Source organism: Homo sapiens, chromosome 14 (assembly GCF_000001405.40).
Source record: "Homo sapiens chromosome 14, GRCh38.p14 Primary Assembly".
Taxonomy (NCBI): domain Eukaryota; kingdom Metazoa; phylum Chordata; class Mammalia; order Primates; family Hominidae; genus Homo; species Homo sapiens.
In genome coordinates this window covers 32,425,610-32,448,373 of record NC_000014.9, presented here as the reverse complement: position 1 = coordinate 32,448,373, position 22,764 = coordinate 32,425,610, and the positions used below count along the sequence as shown (strand labels likewise).

At 39.4% G+C, this 22,764-nt stretch overlaps 1 protein-coding gene and 1 pseudogene across 11 annotated transcripts in view; both read right to left on the bottom strand.

Annotated features, from left to right (window-relative positions):
* The window catches only part of AKAP6 (A-kinase anchoring protein 6), a 508,387-nt gene that overhangs the window by 389,311 nt on the left and 96,312 nt on the right, over positions 1-22,764 (bottom strand). For 10 of the 11 annotated variants that reach the window (XM_047431969.1, XM_047431966.1, XM_024449755.2 and 7 more), the window contains one exon: positions 14,557-14,914. In XM_047431969.1, coding sequence (XP_047287925.1) covers positions 14,557-14,880 — 324 coding nt within the window. In that variant the 5' untranslated portion in view covers positions 14,881-14,914. Of the gene's footprint in view, positions 1-14,556; positions 14,915-19,808; positions 19,995-22,764 lie in introns of those variants that run through there. The other variant, XM_024449756.2, reaches the window with a different exon arrangement.
* RN7SL660P (RNA, 7SL, cytoplasmic 660, pseudogene) lies at positions 5,735-6,033 on the bottom strand (annotated as a pseudogene).

Sequence of the window (22,764 nt, the reverse complement as noted above, 5' to 3'; positions counted from 1 at the left end):
AAGAGGAAGAAAGGGTCCTCACCCAGATGCAGAAAGAATAGATTGGGGATCAAGGCCACAAACTTGGCAACAAATTTACAGTTTGCTTAGGGTGTACTTGGTTATTGTCACGAAATGTTAGGGTTAGAAGGTACTCTGTAGTTCCCTCCGCTTACAGTGATGAAGCTGAGACCCAGGAAAGGGAGGCATTGCCACGTTATAAAGTTAGTAATAAGATGTGGATGCCAGATTTTGGTTCTAGTCCAGGCAATTGAGAACAAAGAGAAGCTGCCACTGAAGTATTGTTATCCAACTACAAATGAAAATCACTCAACTTTACCTCATTTATAGATGTTTTTCCTTCCCTGAAAAAGGACCTTTGGTCCGGGGCATCATTAATCAAAATGTCCAGTGCATTTCATTTCTAGTTCTTCCCATTTGCTGTCCTTACCACAGAAAAAGCAATGTGCATGGGTAGATTTGTAACTGATTTAAATATGTCGGTGTACTTGTTTTAACCTTTGAAACCAAGACTCCCACTGTAGGAGCTGTTAGAGAGAAGGCCATGAGTGAGCACATCCTCTCATTTGGACAGATAATGGATGTAAATGAATGATTAAGTTGCCAACTAGTCCAAGATGGAGGGAGATGCATAATTCTACTTTCTCTCAAACATGATTATGTGATACACTGATAATTTTGAAGAGTTGAATTAATAAAAGACTTTCAAAGGGTTTCAAAATTTAACTTGACCCAAACTTTAGGTCGTATTAACTAGAGTCTGCTATCTTTGAAGAAACTTAATTAAGGTTACCCAACATCTCATTCTTATTGTTTAAAAATGTCAAATTTTGCTCTGGGTTAATTCCAGGAAAATTCTGCTTTTTTGGCCGAGTCCTAACTCCAAAGCTTCTATGAACAATTACACTAATTTTTAAATACTTGTGAATGAAATGTCCTTGGGAAGTTATGGTTATTTTTAGTACGCCAATGCCACTTAGAAAGAACAGAAGGAAAATTTAAAATCATAACACGAGGATTCAGTCAATTAGTTGACCAAAATAGAATTTGCAATTTTATACAAAAAAGTAGGAGAAACTGCCCTTAAAAAGCTCTTAGCTTTGTTTGAGGAAACTAGAAAACAACATATGAAAAAAGCAAATGAGAATGCAAGGTAGTAAACACTGGTGCTAAATTATGTATCAAGAGACAAGGTGCTCTCAGAGCAGTGCAGGCTGAGTGTGCATGAAGTTTTTTAAGTAGAGAGACGAGTTGTTTGCTAGGCCTTGAATCACTGGTTTTAAGTCAAATATGGCTGAGAATAGTTGTAAATATGGAATTCATACTGTGATGCCTAGCTGGGGTCATAACATGAGGAGAGGAAAACATAATTATCTTAAATAGTTTCATTTCAGAATAAGAATTTTTTGCTATCTTTGGGTAACAAATCTATAAAAAATCAATAAAAGACCACAAACAAATAATTTAAGTGTGATGAGTAAAAAAATACCACATTTGCTTTTTAAAATAAAAGTAGAAACCATAAAATTCTATCAAATAAATACATTGTCTTTATAAAGCCTTGTGCTTTAAGTGTCAATAAACTTGTTCTGGAAACCTGCAACACATTCATGGAATTGCATTTTTAAAGATGTACTGAATTTTAAAGTAACTACATTAAACAGTTATAAAATATTTATACTTTTGATCCCGTAACAGACAAAAAAAATAGTTGCTTGTAGATCTATAGGAAATCTAAGCCTAATAATCTTGAAAATTAAAAAAAAAAACAGATGTCTACTAGCTCTAAGAAAACTTATCATTTTCTAACAATCTATTCTTACATGTCTATAACTTAATCTATGATAGTAAAAATAAATTTTTTTTTGAAATACAGATATCTCAGGTTTATAACTACTAAGAAGAGATACATGCAGATCACAAGAAGCAGAAAGGAGAAAAATGAAAAGGAAACCTTGTATCCTACATATACAAAATGACATCTTCTGTATTAATCCATACAAAGTTTAGATTCATTTTTATTTACCTAGCTCGTTACTCATTATAAAAGAGCATAATCCAACAGATTATGGGATAACTACCAGAATTAACACATTTATATAGAATTGAGCACATCAAGTCCATATGGTATTTAACAAATAGTTTTTGCCATTATAATGAGGTAACTGTGTACCCACTTATACAAATCCTACATTTGTCTATACAAAATATTGCACAGAAAATTCAAATAAGCTAAAATACACCATCTTTGAATCTCTTCTTATGGTAATGACATCAAGTTATCAACCAACATAATTTACCTTTAAATATTCTTTGATGCATTATATATAAAATTGCCAATAGAACTTTTGAGGTGAGGCTTTCTCCCTCAAATCATTCCTAAATACAAAATGTCCAGCACGCCCAGGAATCTGATTCACACCCTCAGATTTCCAGTATAGGTATGAGAGCTAGCTTTCCCTAAGGAAGATCTGCCAATTATTTAAAGTCTGTTAGTTTGTATGTATTTAATCAACAAAATAAAGGAAACAAATTGTATGCTAATTGTCTCTGGATTTCAAAGTCATACAAATGTATCAACAAAAATAGGTACTTATGGAATAGAAAAAAAAACAGCTGGAGTAGTAATATCTCAAATTGAATGCTGTGTCTATGATTATGTTATGACAGACACCATATGAAAATAAGGGGAGAACTGGCAGGGCACAGTGGCTCACGCCTGTAATCCTAGCATTTTGGGAGGCCAAAGCAGGCAGATCACTTGAGGTCAGGGGTTCAAGACCAGCCTGGCCAACATGGCAAAACCCCGTCTCTACTAAAAATACAAAAAAAAATTAGCTGGGCATGGTGTCACATGCCTGTAGTCCCAGCTACTCAGGAGGCTGAGGCAGGAGAATTGGTAGAACCAGGGAGGCAGAGGTTGCAGTGAGCCAAGATTGCATCATTGCACTCCAGCCTGGGCAACAGAGTGAGACTCCATCTCAAAAAAAGAGAAAAGAACCGGAAACCCACAAAAGGATTAACCAGCTTAGCTGGCAAGATGGTTTAACCAAGCAGATGACATTTTAGCTATCATTCAGAGTACGTACAGCAATTTTTCCAGGCAGAGAAGTTTGGGGTAAAGAATAAGGTAATTTCCCAGACAGAGAAGAAACCATATTCCAAGGTATGAATTTCTGAATGAGCATGGCTTGTTACAGATGCAGGAAGGAAAATGTCGAGAGAAGGAACAACAGGCCAGCTGGTCTAGATTTTCAAGGAACTTAGAGGCCATGCCCAAGCATTTGGACTGTGGGAGGACAGATAGAAGCTAACAGAAGTAAACACTGCACTTAAATGTATTATGAAACAGCATTTTATTCCTAGTTACTTCCAAGATAGGAGCATAGATACATACATAAGAGGTAGTCTCCTATGTGGTATTACTCGAAGGACTCAAGAATCACCCTTAGTGACAATCTCTCTCCTCATCATGCCTGACTCTCACTATTACAGAAATAGATTCCATTTTCCCTTTGCAGAGGTAAATGTTGAAGATGCAGCTGTTGTTAATACTACTGCTTGAATTACTTTATAGAGGCTTTTAATAGAAATTACATTTTTGGAAAAGAGGAAAAAATGCAAGAAGCACACTGAAGACCTTCTTCATAATTTGCCAAAGGCCAGTTTGTCAGACTTCTGAACTCATTCTCCAGTAGACCTTATAATTATTCCCTCTTTCTTGAGAGAACAGCAGATCACTTCCCATATTGAATTTCACATATTCCTTCTCCATTTAATGATATATTTGGCAAATCTTCCTTATTCAAATAATGAAGAAAAATGGTGCATTAAAGTATCACAGAACAATAGAAGCAGCTTATACCAGAAAGCCAACTGATAACAGCCACATTGTTAAAGTGGACAGAGAAGAGATTTCTATTCAGTTCCTTTTTATTCTATTCACATTTATACAAAGAAAAAACAACCCTCAGCCCTAATACCAAGTGACAAGAGACATATAAGTTCAGTTTGAGCGTGACGAGAGCAAATTAAACTAAGAAAACCAATTGCCTCTAACTCCTCTGCTTGCTCTCTGGTCTGATGAACTTTTTCTTGCTTCCCACTTCCACCACCCAAGCCCAGCTACTCTGCATCACTTACTCAACAGCCTCATAACTGTCTCACATCTCTCCCCTTTCCAGACTAACCTGAACACACTTGCAAAATCACCCTAAGACACAGTTTTGTTTTTTTACCACATTATTGCTTTATTTGTGGGTGTCTTTATGACTACCTTAATCAAGACCAGACTTCTCTGAGCCATTTTAAATTTTTGTGGTCTTTCATAATGTGTTTCCACCAGGCTCAATAATATGTATATACCTCCCATCATGCCTTGGCTCCAGACAAGAAAAGAACCATTCTGTCTTTCATATCCAAAACACCTTTGCCTATACAAAGATGTTTGTGTCTCTCATGACGATGTAAAATAGCCACATAAGGCCCTGCAGGTGGTACACTGACAACTTCAACAGGTGTCTTTCATATGTAACCCGAAAAACCATAGATGGGCAGCATAAGATAGTACATTTAAAGTATATAGGCAAGTATCTGGCATGTACTTACTCCCTTCCTTCCCTTTGCGTATACTGACTTTATGAAGTTACTTGAAAAACTGAAGAAGTTCAAACAAATCATGTGGAAGCCCTCGCTCCTGAGGGGAAAAAAAAGTGTATTTAAATCCTTGGCTGTCTGTTTGGAAGGAAAGGGAGAATGAATGGAACAAGCAAGATGTATCCAAAAGCCCTCTGCTCTGAAGCATCTCCTTCCAGGTGTTGTCAGCTTTGGCTATGCAATGGAATCACCTGGGGAGTCTTTAAAAGACTGATGTCTGGGTCCAAACCCAGATTCTGACATGACTGCTCTGGAACATGGCCTGGGCAATGAGTTGTGTGGGGTTTTTTTGTTTTTTTGTTTTTTTTTTGTTTTGTTTTGTTTTGAGATGGAGTCTTACTCTGCTGCCCAGGCTGGAGTGCAGTGGTGTGATCTCAGCTCACTGCAACCTCCATCTCTCAAGTTCAAGCAATTCTCTGCCTCAGCCTCCTGAGTAGCTGGGATTATAGGCGCCCACCACCACGCCCAGCAAATTTTTGTATTTTTAGTAGAAACAGGATTTCACCATCTTGGCCAGGCTGGTCTTGAACTCCTGACTTTGTGATCCACCTGCCTCGGCCGCCCAAAGTACTGGGATTACAGGCGTGAGACACCACGCCTGGCCGGACAATGGGTTTTTTAAAGCTTCCCAGGAGATTCTACTGTGCAGCCAAGGGTGAGAACCATGGTCTCTAACACATGCCATAGCTTGAAATCAATTGATTTGTTAACATTTATCATTAAAGATGTTCATTTCTTGTTCCACTCACCTCCATGTTAGGATACTAGTCATTCACATCTTACTTCCTTTTCACTTTAATTCTATTACGTTTCCCCTCTTTTGAGATGTAAAATTTTGAAGACAGCAGAGTGGGCAAGGTAGCAGCATAGGTACCTTATTCAAGGTAGCTATGACAACCCTACTCAAAGGGACCCCAGGACTTCATCTATGTCCCCATTTCAAATCACTCACATTCCTACTTATGATGAATTAAAATACACACAGGTTGGATCTTCTTAATAAAATAAGCCCCCCACCCTCATATCCGTTCCTCTTAACTGTCTAATGTAAGAAAACCAGAATTTTTTTTTTTTTTTAAGAGACGGGATCTTGCTATGTTGCTCAGGCTGGAGTGCAGGGGCTATTCACAGGCGTGATCCCACTACTGATCAGCATGGGAGTTTTGACCTGCTCCATTTCCAGCCTGGTTCAGTTCACCCCTTCTTAGGCAACCAGATGGTCTTCTGCTTCCAGGAGGTCACCATATTGATGCCAAACTTGGTGTGGACATCAGATTGGCAGAGAGCACTACTGCCCAGGACTCCTGGACTCAAGCAATCCTCCTGCCTCAGCCTCCCCAGTAGCTGGTACTACAGGCACATGCCTCTGTACCTAGCCGGAACTATTATGCTTTATAGCCACTCAAATTTCTCACATCTGTACAAGGGTATGAAGCCAGTGCACCAAAATAGAAAGAATATTAGACTTGAGGCTCAAAATACATGGTTTGACTCCCAAGTTGATCACTTAACCTTTTGAGACTCAGTCTCCTCATTTCTAACAGAGGGTGATTGTGAGGATTAAATAAGATACTATAAGTAAGACTCCTAGTATATATTAGATACTCTATGAATGCAATTGAAATGAAAACTCTCAAGGCAAGGAAAGAGTTAACTCATATCCTACCTCTGGTGGATGCCCCTAAAAATATCTAATCCTGTGAGACCACAAAAACAGATAGCTATTGTTGTTCAGTGAGAGCTCATGGTGACATTATTAAACAAACATCTTTAAAAAACCCCAATAACACTTCTCTAATCAAAGTAATGCCAGTTTCTTTAGATTTTTCTCAAAATCCTTTTATGAAATGTATTACTTTCTCTAAACTGTTTTCATTATTTCTTTCAAATTGTAAAACCTGTATTAATCTTCAGTTTCCATGCTACTTTTGCTAATGAAAAATTACACAGCTATACAATCTGTTAGACTGAGCCACCTTGACAAATAATGCTCTCATTCTGAGCTCTAAATACATTAGTGCATGTGGCTAAGGTTCATGTATAGCCAAAGATCTTCTGCGATAATGTGCCAGGAACCACCAACATTAATTTTTCTATATCTTAATCAAGAGTGTTCATAAGTAGTCCAAAACAGGTGCTAGGTCTGAGGCTTATATCATCTCCCCAAATCATGATGAAAATACATCAATCATTCAACAATCAAAAAAGGATTTATTTAGCACTTAGCCTGTTTTCCAGCATTGGATGGGGAAGAGAGAGAGAGATAATTATTCAACAATTAATTGAGATAGACTTTTTCCCACATAATTGGGTCTTCTAAATATCTAAAATTAGCCATTCAAACATCAGACATCCTTCTTATTTCAACCATTTTTATTAGTTGATGATACCAAATAGTCTTACACAATCTTAGCACTAATTGTAGAAAAAGCATTTCCACTAATAACCACCATAATGAAACCACACTCTCTATACACTTGACCACTAGTATCCAACTTCCCTAAGAAGACACCCTAAGGAAAATGTACAGTCAGTCATTCAGACTACTATAACAAAACACCTTAGACTGGGTAATTTATAAACACTAGAAATTTATTTCTCATGGTTTGGAGGCTGGAAAGTCTAGGATCAAAGCACCAGCAGATTCTGTGTCTGGTGAGAGCTTACTCTCTGCTTCCAATATGGCACCTTGTTGCTGCCGTAGCTCCCTGTAACCTTTCTTTATGAGGTCACTAATTTCATTCATGAGGGTAGAGCCCTTATTATTTAATCAGATCCTAAAGACCCCACCTCTTAATACTATCACATTGGCAATTAAGTTTCAACATACGAATTTTGAGATCATAGCACCCATCCACCAAAAAAAGGATTACAGCCATAAATCTGGGCTTTGGGAAAATAATAAATGTTACCATCCTCATACCCATCAACAAATACATCAACCTCATCTTCCAATTTTCAGAGATTTGGGATATGCTTTTGGGGTTGCTGATTTGATGGGTATTTCGTGTAAATTTTAATCCCATATAAGAATTAAAACAATAATGTTACACAAACAGCACCAGATTACATTTCCTTGCATAATATGTTCCAAAATTAAAGTATATATCAAAGATCTTGAAGAAAGTTGGGAATGGCCTAAAGCAGTCACTATCAAACTGTTATGGCGTTGATTCAAAAAAATACATTTTTACACCATGACCAAGAACTTGGTTTTAATTAAATCAAGTTTTTTTTTTTAATACTTTAAGTTCTAGGGTACATGTGCACAATGTGCAGGTTTGTTACATATGTATATGTTCGCCATGTTGGTGTGCTGCACCCGTTAACTGGTCATTTACACTAGGTATATCTCCTAATGCTATCCCTCCCCACTCCCCCCACCCCATGACAGGCCCCAGTGTGTGATGTTCCCCACCCTGTGTCCAAGTGTTCTCATTGTTCAGTTCCCACCTATGAGTCCATCAATAATAGACTGGATTAAGAAAATGTGGCACATATACACCATGGAATACTATGCAGCCATAAAAAAGGATGAATTCATGTCCTTTGTAGGGACATGGATGAAGCTGGAAACCGTCATTCTGAGCAAACTATCGCAAGGACAGAAAACCAAATTTTACAACATAGCACTTATCATTATTCATGAAATCCTTTTCTAATTCATTGTTTAGCTCTTTATTTCACTAAACTGATTTCACAACCTGCTAAATGGGTTAAGATCTATTTGTTGAAAAATAGTGATCTAAAGGGCAAAAATGAAAATAACTACTCTTCGCAGAAAAGAAAGATATTTTGTCTTCAATCTTAAACCAGGGCTTATTATATTTAAGATGTGCTGGAAACCACTCAAAGATGGTATAAATTGAATGCTTCGGGCTTTAACACACAGTCAAGTTAACATTAAGATCAGAATCCACCGAGCCAGTAACTTTTAATGTCAGAAGTTTAGTTCCACTCAGAGTTCCTTCCCCTTATCAAGAATTTATGAGAATCCAAGGGCATGTTTTAGATATGCCCATGAATCAACCCTGGCTGTTGCTCACTGTCACGACTATGGACCCTAGACACCACAGTTGTCACCTTGGTGGCACCACTGCCATCTGAGGTAGCCTTACTAGTTATGCTCCAGTAGTGGGAGAAAGAGAATAATCCTTCCCTTTTGCACCTGCTGAACAAGGGGAAAGTTGGCTTCAGCCACTGGGGAGGTCCTCCAAGTCACAACCATAGCCCTTTCCCCTCATTAGTTATCCACACTGCCCTGGTGCCAGCCCAGGTTCCAGGCCTGGGAACATACTGTACCACAACTCACCATCCCCTTTCCTCCCCACACTGGGGCAGACTCCTTGTCCCATGGTGACAGAGAATCCTCTCCTAGGAGCCCCATTATCCTTGGACTTCCAACATCTTCTGTCCATAAGGTCCATCTGATGGTGCCAAATCCCAGCTGTGGAGAGGATTCAATCCTTTTTCCCAGTAGGCCCTCCAGACCCCATGTGATCACTGGGTATGTGCATTAACTTCAGATGTCCCAGACATCTCAGTCTGGGTACAGCCCAGTCAGAACATCTTGTAAACAGAGTCTCTGTTGACTACTCTAACTTTGAGAGTCATGTCACAATCAATCAAAGATACAGACCCAAATCTCATGTGGAGGTGGCTTAGGACAGAATCTACCTAATGTGGGTTTTGGGGGAGCTGATTCCAGAAAGCCACTTCAAGGCTTCTGTCTGTTATCCAGCCATATCATTTAGCCTATGCTAGCTAGCCTACACCTTGCCTCTTTCCTGCTATCACGTTTCCAGGAAAACAAATAATATTCTCCCTGAGAAGACTGTTAATCAGGAAGCAGAGATACCTACTTTGCCTTTTTAGCAACCAAATACATTCACCCAAACCAGAGGTCTCAGTTAAAATCAAAACCTTTAAAGGTTCTTGATCTGGTTTTCCTGTACAGCACAGCTTCTGAATCCAAAGAAGGCGGAGAGATTCTAAATTTGGTTCAGCTGGTTTCTCATACTTCTTACTGAAGAATATCTGGAAGCTAAGAAGCAAAATATGTAGGTTTCATTTTCAGTTTTAAAAATGATGCAAAAAAGTACTCAGTATAATATATTTCATTGTTTCCAATTTTCAATCTCTGCTTTTATTCACTCTCAAGAATAATCACTCCCCCATGGGAACTTTATAACAGTTGTCTGTAGTTCATTCTGGAGGTAAAATTTCCCCTAAGAACTTGGAAATAAGGGAGATAAGAGTGGTCTCTGGGAAACAGACTTTAGGATCAACACAATGACCAGAAGATAAAATCACTTTTAAAGAAAAAGAGTGTCTCTGGGTTTAGAAGACCTGAGAGTATGCTTATTAACCGAAATCATTACCAAAGAAGGAGTACAACAAAAAGGGGGATGTGAGAGGGGCCAGGCACAACCATTTACAGAAGAAGAACAGACTTTCCTGGGCAGACTCCCCAGACAAGATCCCCCAGATTTCTGAACCACTCACAGACCCTTCCTAGTGGGAGAGCAATGCCCCAAACATATTGGGCCTTGATTCATCCAATGCCTTTGTCCTAATTCAATCCTCATTGAGCAGCCTTCCTTATGTGACTTGCTGTGCAAGCCTGTCTATGGGGAAAGAAGGCACTGACCACATAGGCTTGGACTCACCTATACAACAACAGGTGTGAATTGAGTCCTAAGTGCCTGGCCCTGTCCTAGACAACAGACATACAATAGAAAACTTGACAGCTCAGGTCCTTAGGGAAAACACAAACAAGCAAATAAATAAATAACTGCAGCTAGTGATAAGAACCATTAAAAAAATAATAAAGGCCACGCCTGTAATGCCAGCACTTTGGAAGGCAGAGGCTAGAAGATCGCTTGAGCCCAAGAGTTCAAGACCAGCCTGGGCAACATGGTGAAATCCCATCTCTACTACACAAAATACAAACATTAGCTGGGCATAGTGGCATGCACTTGTAGTCTCAGCTACTTGGGAGGCTGAGGCAGGAGCATCTCTTGAGCCTGAGGGTCAAAGGTTGCAGTGAGCCCAGATTGCGCCACTGCACTCCAGTCTGGGTGACGGAGTGAGACCCTGTCTCAAATAATGATAATAATAATAATAAAGCTAGGTGATGGACTAGATAATGGCTGGGTGGCAGGGGTTTTAAGAAGAGGGATCAGGAATGGCTTATTTGAAAAAAGGACATTTAATTAAAGAGCTGAGACAGAGCCTACCCTAAGCATTTTTCAAAAGCATTTTCCAACTACGTTTTTTAAAAAGTTATGTATTGACATGATGGTAGAGAAGAGCATGATGAAAAGACTTAGAACCAGCAGTGTGAAAGGGAGTATGAAGTGTGTAGACAAGTTAGGTAATGAGTAGCTTCTTTTTTTGTGCTTGCCCCTCATCAAACACAGCACAGACCCTACTTCCTCACTGCCAATCCCTGCCCAACCCTCTCCCAGGCTTGCATCTCCAGATATTAAACATGACTGTCCCTCTGGCTGATAGCTTGGTGAGGATCCAGAATCTGCCATGTAACAATGGGGAAAGAGAGCTTCTCCGCAGAAGGAACAGGAAAAGCTGTCAGACAAGAACAAACCCAATGCTTCTTTGGAACTTACAGTGAATCTGGAGCTTTATGAACAAGGAGAAAAGTACAGGAGCCAGGATCAGAGGAACAGCCAAGAGCAGAGTCACAGGAAAAAGCTTTAGTTTTATTGTAAGTCCAATAGGAAGCAAGGAAGTGACATGACCTCATTTACATATTTATTACTTTAGTTTTTTGAGACAGAGTCTCACTTTGTCACCCAGGATGTAGTGCAGTGGAGCATCAGCAGCCTCAATTTCCCAGGCTCAGGTGATTCTCTCATCTCAGCCTCCAGAGAAGCTGGGATTACAGGTGCACACCACCATGCCTACTAATTTTTGTATTTTTAGTAGAGACAGGGTTTCACCATGCTGCCCAGTCTGGTCTCAAACTCCTGGGCTCAAGCAATCTGCCCATCTCTGCCTCCCAAAGTGCTAGGATCATAGTCTTGAGTCACCATGCTTGTTTACGTATTTAAAAGATCCCATTGGCTACTGGGTGGAGAATAAACTGCAAGGCTAAAGGTAAAAGAAGCAGCAAGATTAGTTAGAAAGTTCTAAAAGTAGCCTAGGCAAGCAGTGATGTGGCTTGACTAGGATGGCAGCAGTAGTGTTGGAGAGAAGAGAGTAACTTTAGGGCATATTTTGGAGATGGATTCCCAGGACTTGTTGATAGACATGTATGTGGAGTGGAGAGTCATGCTTTGGCTTAACAGAGTAGTGACGTTTACTGAAACTGGTAAGATTGGGAGAGGATTAACAGCTCTTTGATGGGCTTGAGATGCCCACTAGAGACACAAGTGGAGATTAAGTTAGGCAGCTGGGGCTCCTGGGAAAACACTGAGATGAACATATAAATTAGGCAATTATCTGTGCCTAGATGATCTTCAAAGCCATGGGCATTCCCAGCCTTGAGATGGTTATTTTTCACTGTAAATTAATAAATTGGGTAACTTATCAAGGTAGTAGGAGCCAAGTTAAGATGCCCCATCACAGCTGGCCATCCCCAGTCTGGGCCTGCCCATCTGCTTTGCCAAAGGCCTCAGTTGAGAGCTGCTTCTACAAGGTTGTTTTGTTGTGTTTCCACATATAAAACTCTGTGCCCAAGTTCCCGTTTATTCTTATGATCAACGTGGAAATCAGAAAAAGTGATATTTATTTAAAATATTTTTGAAAAAATGCATGACAGTGCTTATTTGGTGGAATAAAGAAATATTATACGAATAAAAGAGAAACTTAACTAAGTAGATTAAGCGATATAACCAAACACTTGTGTAGACCTTTTTTGAGGCCACATGCAGTAACCAGAGCTCCTTGACTTTGAACTCAATGTGGAAAGGCTCTATTGGTTAAGTAACCTAATGAAACTAGTACCCCGAAAAGTCATGATAGACATCCTAGGATAAAATGAACATAGGACAATTTATATTTATCCCCTTAATAGTTATTGACTGAGTAACTACTATGTAATTACTGTGTTGACTTCATGCCCTCCTGGGGCTCCTTTCTCAGCAGGGGAGACAGACCACACTAAGGGATGGAGCTGATGGAGGTGGGTGTGAAATACCTTTTGACCAAGGTAAGAACGTGATAGGCAGTTCCAATGAGAAAAATACATACAACCCTAGAGTTGGTTTCTCAAACACTAAATATAACCCTATGTTAATTGTACAAAAACTTTACATTCTTATTTGGAACTAAAATTTAAATTTTCACTTCCAAGTTGTTAATGTAATTCAATAAAGTTAATTGACTCATTAATGTTTTTAATAGCCCTTAACAACACATTTTTTTTACTGAGACTTCTAAAGATATTTCCCTTTATTGTCCCCACCTTTTCTATGTAAGTCTGAAAGATTCCAGAAAGCAGTAGTTGACTTTCCTTATAAACCTAACCCCCTATCTACTTATGGGAGCTACATGTAAGGGTAGCCTTGGAGGGGACAGAGAAGGGAAGGGGGCAAAGCAGAGCCTCCAAATTTCTATTTCACTTTAACCTCAAGGAGTTGGAGACCTGCTATTCTGATTATACAAACCATGTTTCACAGACTGAGTCAAATCACTCCCTGCTGCAACAGCAGAAAGATGGCTGGGGTTTGCATTCTGTTGAAGCTAATTCCTAGCCATCTCTCTGTTGCCTTTTTGTACTTTTTTCCCTAATAACCTGTAGAAATCAGACACTAGACCTGCTCAACCTGGGAGAAGCCCAGTCACCTTTAAGATTCTGGCTCTTTTGTTCTCTCCCCCGACCACACTCATTTGAACACTTTCTGTAATGGGGCAGCTGGGCTCTGGATCTGCTGAACCAGCCTGAGAAGGCTGAGCCTGCTCTGCTCTAGGCTCTATGCTTCATTTTAAGTGCTCATCTTTCCCACTCAGGCTGATGGCTGCATCCTGTAAACCATTTAAGTGTTAAGATCCAAGAATGTTTGACCTTTCATTTCAGATTATTTAGGATGAACCAGTTTAGGTAAAGGAAGTTTCCTTAGTGTTACTTCTAATTGACTAGAAATTTACCATGGGGTTTGTGGCCAGTGCCCTGATTGGTTATAAACCTGTCTTGCTCTGCAGGTCACTGACCTGAGTGTGTATTTCCCTCAAGGACCTGGGAGAGAGGAGTGACTATGGCAGGGCGAGGTTCACCTTATCTTGAAGTCCCTAGGCCAAAAACGCTATTAGTAGTACTCTTTACTAGCAACTCCATTTCATTATCACCAACAGTCAGGCTTTTAAAGGGCTTCTGAGTCCACAGACTTTTTTTTTAAATGTCTGAACTTTAGATGAGTTGTCATAAAATCACCTTTGTTCTACATGAAGCATTGTGCCTGGATGAAACAACTCATTGTAAAAGAACATTGCCCTTCCCTACTATGTCAGAATTCATTGTTTGCCACAAAGGCAGCATCAGCTTCAACTGAAGATAACAGTCACATACAAATACTCACAATCACAGCTGCATTTGATATTTTACCTATAAGAGTCTTTTATTAAACCCTTTGTAAGAGTTTTTAAATACTTTTATTCTGTGTAACTTATTTTGATAACACTGCACAAAAATACCCCTCCCTTTCCCCATTTCTCTGCACTATCACCAAAGGCCAGTTGTATTCTAGATAATCAGCACATGTAGTAAAATCAGAGAAGAATTAATTATTTCCATGTTTATCTCTAAAGATAATGGTTTGAAACCTGGTACTGTGCTTTTCTTCCTGGACAATTCCTCACTGGAAATTACAGAACACAGTCTCTAGGTGCCACAGCCTTTTGAAAACTTCTATCCTGAGAGGATCACAGACCTTGCCTTACCTTTAGTTGAACTAGATGTACATCCACATGCTTGCTGTCCGAATCCTGCTGGACTGAATAGGTTAGGTCTCGGACCCTCTCTGAGGTCATCCGGAGCCAGGTCTCAATTTCAGGTAAGTGGAGGACAATCTTCCAGTCAGCCCCTGTGTGTAGTGGGGGTGGCTTTTCATACTGCTGGTCAGAGTCCATGTCCTTCATTGCCTCTTCTCCCTCACCCTGCTCCACAGTGGGTGTCATGTTGATGGCCATGGGTGAAGCATCAGTAGCCATGGGATCCAGGTCCTGTGACCTCAGGGGGGAAAGTGTCACGCTCATGGTTAACATGGAGAAGTCTAAACCTCACTTCTTTCCAAAACAGCTGAAAGGCAAGAGGAAAGAAGAAAGCAAGAGTCAGTCAAGATTGCCAAATAAAGAAATGATACTTCACAGAAGAAACAGGATTTCTAAATTAAGCCAGATTTCTAAATTAAGAAACCATAGCTCATAACAAAAACAGAAAGAGGTGTTTTGATTTTCTACATGGTAGCCCCAAGAGCCAGGAAATAATATGAACATAAAACCACTGTGATATTGACTACTCTCCCCCCACCGCCCCCATCTATTCTTCCCTTATTTCTTAGTAACAAAATCCTGGTTTTTAGCTGTTCATATTCCTGCACAGAATTTAAAACTACATTCCCTATCTCCCTTGCAGCTAGGTGTGGCCATGTTCTGGCCAATGAGTGGAATTGTTGTGTTGAAATTCTGGGAGAGCTGCTTACAGGGAGCTGACTCAATTAGGAGGGGCTCCCTTTATGCCCTTCTACTTTCCTCCCCTTCTTCCAGGCTGTAATGTGGACTTGATGGCTAGAGCAGCTGGCAACTCAGACCCAGAGAGGCCTTTGCGTATGACGGGTAGAGGACGGTGGAGCATGAGGGTAGAAACACGGGTTCCACTTGATACCGGAGGAGCTACCGTACCAGGTCTGATTGCTGCTCTGTACTTCTTTTATGTGAGAAAAAACCAAACTTCTATCTTGTTCAAGCCAGGATTATTTTGGGCTTTTCTACTAGAAATATTCAAACATCATTTTGACTATAAAATCAACATATTCAATACGTGGGACAGCTACGTGGGAAGATGTTCTAATCACAAAAAACACTGAGCTGAATTCAGGAGATGTTGCTCCTTTCTATGATTTGTTAGTTAAATAATAACCTGTGACAATCCCAAATCTTTACTTTCCTAGAAAGTATAAATCATGGATTGTACTGAATAGATCTAATTAACTCTCAATCTAAATTACATTAATATTTGGTTATATGGAATTTTTAGAGGCTTCTGGAATTTTAGGGGTAATAAATTGGTCTGAAATACATAAACAGTAAAATATTAACCAAATAAGTTAAAATAACATAAGTGTAATTCATCAAAAAGTAAGGTGGCATTTTAAGATGAATTTAATTAGTTTAATTATCCAGCTATTAAATTTATCTTTCTTCTGGAACGAGTCTAGTATAAAATATCAACTTTTAGGCTCTTATACTTTAAAATAAATAAGCACTATTTTTAGTCTCAAGAGCAGCTTCTTCTACTCAAGGCAATGAATTTATTTTTCTTTTATACTTTTTTTTCGGGTTCTACAAATTCAAGTTAGTTTATATTGTTATTTCCCCAAAGATGAAAGGTGACTGACCTAAAGATCAGAAATTAAATGTGATTGTCAAAAAGTGGTTCATATTTGTACAGTAACAAATATTCAGCAAAAAAAAAGAAAAGCAAAATTATTTTTACATACCAAAATAGAGGGGAAACTTTTTAAAATGCTTCCAATTTGACTAGAAACATGTATCTTTCCATACAGGAATGAGGAGTGGAAATAAAAAAGACTTGTTGAGTTGACAAAAGCCTTAAGACTAAGTTACTCCTATGACATATTTTTTCAGAATCTTTCCAATACTGCAGTGTAATCCTTTTCCCTAATTTCTCAGGCATCTAACTTTTGAATTCAATGGTGAGGAGAAGGCCAGACGTGGTGGCTCACGCCTGTAATCCCAACACTTTGGGAGGCCGAGGCAGGCAGATCACCTGAGGTCAGGAGTTCGAGGCCTGCCTAGCCAACATGGTGAAACCCTGTCTCTACTAAAAATACCAAAAATTAGCCGGGTGTAGTGGCAGGCACCTGTAATCCCAGCTACTCAGGAGGCTGAGACAGAAGAATGGCTTGAACCCGGGAGGGGGAGGTTGCAGTGAGCTGAGCCGAGATTGCACCATTGCACTCTAGCCTGGGCAACAAGAGTGAAACTACGTCTCAAAAAATAAAAAATAAAAAAGAGAATTACAGATAAATTTTTAAAACAAAGTTATTTGCAAAAAGCAAAATATATGTTATAAAGTAGGTTTATCACTTTGATACCTGCCTTAGAGAATGGCTTCAGGCTTCAATTCAACAGCCTTCGCCACCTGAATGCAAAAGGCAGAAATCCATACCCCACACTTTTTTTCTTTCCCATGAATATAAGGCAGATACCCCATATTTTTAACCATGCTTGCATTCAGTTTTACAAGTAATAATAATACTAGACCCAGCTATTAAAACAAAAAACAATCAGAAGATAACAAAATTTCACTGAGAGGGATAAAACTCCAGGAAGAGTGAGCTACCATACCACTTCTTCATAAACCATACCCCAGCCTCAGGCTGATTCCAATTTCTCCAATTTTTTTTTTTTTGAGATGGAGTCTCACTCTGTTGCCCAGGCTGGAGTGCAGTGGTGCCATCTCAGCTCACTGCAAGCTCTGCCTCCCGGGTTCACGCCATTCTCCTGCCTCAACCCCCCAGGTAGCTGGGTCTACAGGTGCCTGCCACTATGCCTGGCTAATTGTACTTTTTTTAGTAGAGACAGGGTTTCACTGTGTTATCCAGGATGGTCTCCATCTCCTGACCTCGTGATCCGCCCACCTCGGCCTCCCAAAGTGCTGGGATTACAGGCATGAGCCACCGCACCCAGCCCCAAATTTTTAATATTTAAAAAAAATTATTAATCGACCCACTGCCCTCTGGGGGTAAGTTTAGAATCACAATGCTATAGAAGGAATCTGATACATAAAGGTTAATAAGGTTTCTAGGTCAAGAACTTAGAACTGGTTATAAATGAAGACACTGGTGTCACAGTGGTTCCCTCTTCTAAGAAGCCAGAGTCACTGAAACTAGAAAACTGAATGCTGAGCCAGGGCAGCATACAATGAACTGTTTAAGCTACACTGACACATACACACTCACCGCAAAACCCTGCCCCAAAGCCCTGCACAACTGAAAAAACAGTGCTTAGTCACCGTGTTTTCTCTGAAACTCCTAAGTCAAGGCAGGGCCTTCTTGGGAATACACATCCTACCGTAAACTAAAAAACACACTAAAGAATTAGCTTATGTCCCAACCTGCAACATTTCCATATATACCATCAGTCCACGCACTAAGCACACTGCAGTTTTATATGATTTGGGGCAAAATCCTCCATACATTTCTTGGCCTCAGTTTCTTCATCTGTAAAATGACAAAACGGAACTAGATAGTCAATAGGATCCCATTTGCCCTAAGAATCTGTGATTGCCTAGGGTTATTTATCCAGAGATTTCAAAGCTGTTGGAAGTTTCCTGCCTATCTTGAGAGCTGTGTAGCTACTAAATGATGGTTCTCCATTTTGTCAAAGCCTACAAGTATTATTGATAGATGTGTCCTACTTAATGAAAAGGAATAAATTACTATCATGAAAACAGCGTTTTGTAAGTCATTATTTACACGTTTTGTGTTGTTAATTCTTCCCAGAGGAACAAACATGGGAGATTCTCCCCTCTAGAAGTTTGCCACTTAAGACTGACAAAACAGATGTGGTTATATATGTAGAAGACAAACCAGAATAAAATAAAAATATGAAACAAAAGCATAGCTGGAGAGGAGAAGATGTGCATCCTATATGAGTCAAGTACAAAGAAATCTTACATTCAAGCTGCCAAAGCAAAATTTTCCTGTAACTATAAAACTTCTAACTAGATGCTATGTTTCCACATTCAACTGATCAGACTACACACAAGAGAATTTCTATAACCCATAGAGATAAAACAAAGCGTGCTTTACTCAAGTTTCATTTCAACTTCTATTTACTTTCCTTCACATATACCTTTGCCACTAGGAAAAGAATGGTATATGTGTCATTAAGCACAGCAAGCCTGGGTAGTAGCATAAAATGGATTAATTGCCCATTTTCATGAAAAGCAATTACTACAAACATTTTTCAATTTTTAGTAGTTCACATTTAAATGTAGCATATATGGATGGTCATACTCTTTTTCTGATTTTAACAAAATCACATCTGATTTTAAAGATAAATTATAATTTTTTAAAAATGCTTCAAATTGTAGAAACGTATAGTAACAGTCTTTGTGAATATTTTTCTTGTTCTTATCAGGACTATTCAAGTTTCTTTCCCATCAAACTAATTACTCCATTTGAATGCAAACAGAAAGCAGGAAATTGAGCATGAGTCTATATCTGTAAATAATATAAGATTTGAATTCTTGTTTACAAGTCATCTTGAGATAAGATTCCTTTCTAGTCACAGAGACATTTTTTTAAAAGCTTAGACTACAAGTTCTGATGGTGAAAATAAAAAAATTTGATCAAGTGCACACAGGTGCCTACCGAGTTACAACTCTGGCTCCAAGACGGTGTGAAAGGAGTGATCAGACAGCTTTTTGGAACCCAGTGACCTCTCATCTCCCTCCCCCTAATCAAATGCTTGTCTGCGGCCACCTTTCCAGCATTAGCGATAATACCACCTTTATCCCAGCTGCTGTTAAAAATAACATCCATCAAATCCCTTCCTTTACACAAATCCAAAGAAGAGGCAATAATTAAAGTGCAATAGCTGAAAGCAGTAATGATTTTAAGGCTTTTTTTTAAATTATAAAAGGGTTTTTCCACCTTATTCTATTTATCATCCTATAGAAACATGCCATGGATGGCTTACTAACAAGGACTGTTTCTGCGATCTCATGTCCACAAGTTTTGGGTTGGAGCTTGACGCTAGCAGAATGCATTCAACTTGAATAAACAAACACATTTAAATCAGAAAAGTTCATTCGACCAAATCAGGAGACAAAAAAGTTCAGCTACATCGCCATCAAAGCTTCCCACCTCTCTCTCCTTTCTTTTACAATTTTCTCTCTTAAATAAAAGAACAGAAAAGCCGGGTATCTTGCCTATTGTACTCACTGTAAATGGTTTTTTCCCTAACGGCCCTTCAGGATTAATCATTTGGCTCCTCCTCTCCCCGGTGTTTCTCTTCTTGTGGCCAAACAATATGAAGGCCAGTGTCGGGGCTGCACCATGCTGGCAGGACACTGGTGCCAGTATAGAGTACCAGCTTCATACTCTCTTGGTGGCCTAAATCTCTTGTGCAGAGAGGGCTGCTATGCAGTCCCTATTTGGAAGCTAATGTATAAGCTCCAGGATTGTGCAGTCATAGGCAGACCTTTTGCAAACAAGCAGTGATGAGTGGACCGAGAAAAAGGAGACAGTTGCCAAAACAAGGATCACTATGGAAAAGAGTCTTTGGGTGGACAGAGCGCTTCCAGTCATGGTTCAGAAGAATCAAGACTTTACTCTCAAAAACCCCAGCAATCTTAAAGCAGGATAAATTAATAGTACTGTGTTAACATGACTAGCTGACAAAGCCAACTTCAGCCAAATAGATTCCTGCTCTGTCTCAGCAAGAAACTGTTCTTTCCATGTAAGAGCATTATCATGAGTACAGTTTGAGAGGCAGTCTTTTCATCATGTAAATCAACTCTAAGCCTAAATTCTTATTCTCAGTCTTTCTGTGCCCTGCTTATCCTGAAAATATAAGCAAGTGATTAAAGCATAATTCTAGTCAAATTAACAGATGTGCTTGCTACATAGCACTTATTACAGAACAGAGGTAGAAAAAATTATATTAAGCATCACATAAGTTTCCTTTTTCTCCCACTTCATTTCTTCTCTTACATTTTTATAACCACTCTTCATAGAACCTATTCATATGGACACTGAATTTAGAAATAAAAAAATCCTCTGGCCTGTTTCAATTTTTGTCTAAGGTTAGCTCTCATGATTTGATTGCATTAAGGAGAAAGAAACTCCAGAGGTGTACCCTGTATATGATTCCAGGATACCAGATTGGGCTTTGCAAAGAAAACACAAAAACAAATTTAATAAATTGGTTAATTAAATGCCACTGCCTAGCCAGATGAATGAGGATCTAGTTCGTCACTTAGTTTTAAATCTTGCTGCCTGCCTACCTCCCAGGCCTTTTGTTGGGTCAAGAGCTGGGAAACTTTAAATGGCTTTCAGCTCTTAAATAGAAGAGGCAAAGAGTTGCTGCCAAGTATTAAGTTAAATCTGTACTTAGGGAAAAAGTTAAAGTGGCTTCTGTAAGATGCTCCTAAGGAAATGTCCATAATTGCTGCCTGATGCCTTCTCCTCCTTTGCTCTCTTTCCCTGCCCACCCCAATGCCCTCCAGCACTCACGCAGAGTAACACTGTTTAGTGAGATCACTGCAGTAGCCCCAGATTAATCTCACTTTCTAATCCTCTTGCAATAACAGGCCAGCCTACAAGTGGATGTCAGTGAGGAGAAGGACTGCAAGTGCCCCAGGGGGGAAACAGCACGTCAATAGGGGAGCCCAAACAGATTTCCATAATTTAAAAGATCTCGGTGTTATCACTGGTGTTTCTCTCTCTCCTTTCCCCTCTTGAATATTTCCTTTTGTACAGCTGTGCCCCTCGGCAGATGGGTGATTACATTCTGCTAATCACTTAGAGACCACGCACCATCTCCTGGGTCTTTCCTCAAATACCCGCTAACTCCCTTGCCCAGAACACAGTCTGCTGTCAACCATAACACACTTAATCAATCATCTTCTCCCCTCAAACCTTCCTCCTACCCCTCTCCCCAATTATTCAGATCTTCCCATGGCAGGGATATCCAGATTGACTCAGATAGTCATCATGCCTCCTGTATTTTCTTTCCTCCTCTACAGCAGTCATTTCCTGTCACAGAGAGATTCATTTGACTGCTTCAGGCAGGCAGCCGCAGTGGCACCCACGGTCATCAATATGTGGACCTGGACTCAGTGAACACTAATGAGCATTCATACTTCTCACCCTCATCCCAAGTTGCTAAAAATCACCTTTAAGCATTAGGCAGTCACCTTTCTATTGTTCAAGAAATTGTCATGACAGAGACTGGATTTGTAAAACTTTAATATATAATTTGTACAGTTGTTGCCTTTGTCAATGCTATTAAGGTAAAGGAAATGAAACAAGATTCATTTCAAATCAACTGACATTTAGTGGTTAGAATTTAAATCAACGGACATTACTGAAAATCAACTATATAAAAGGTATTCTATGTATATGTGACTCTTCATATTCACCCTCAAGGAAATTATAACTTTATAGAAACAATCTCTTTCTCACACCTCTGTCTCTCCTCTCCCCCTCTCTCCCTAACCCAAACACATACTCACACCTACTGCACCAACAGGCTATGCTCAAATACATGAAGGGCAAAAACAAACAAACAAAAGCCCAGTAAGGCCCCAGGGGTGTCATTAATCCTGAGTAAAGGAAAGATAAGTGCGAACCTTTACTAGAGAAGGTAACATTTCAGATGGCTTATAAAAATGGGTCTGGGATTCCCTACTTAATAAATGGTGCTGGGATAACTGGCTAGCCATATGCAGAAGATCAAAACTGGACCCTTCCTAACACCATATTCAAAAATTAACTCAAGATGAATTAAAGACTTAAATGTAAAACCTAAAACTATAAAAACCCTGGAGACAACCTAGGCAATACTATTCAGGACATAGGCATGGGCAAAGATTTCATGATGAAGACACCAAAAGCAATTGCAACAATAGCAAAAATTGACAAATGGGATCCAATTAAACTGAACAACATCTGCACAGCAAAAGAAACTATTAACAGAGTAAATGGACAGCCTACTGAATGGGAGAAAATTTTTGCAAACTATGCATCTAACAAAGGTCTACTATCCAGCATCTATAAGAAACTTAAACAAACTTACAAGAGAAAAACAACCCCATTAAAAATGAGCAAAGGATATGAACAGCTTCCTTCCTTCCTTCCTTCCTCTCCTTCATTCCTCTCCTTCCTTCCTTCCCTC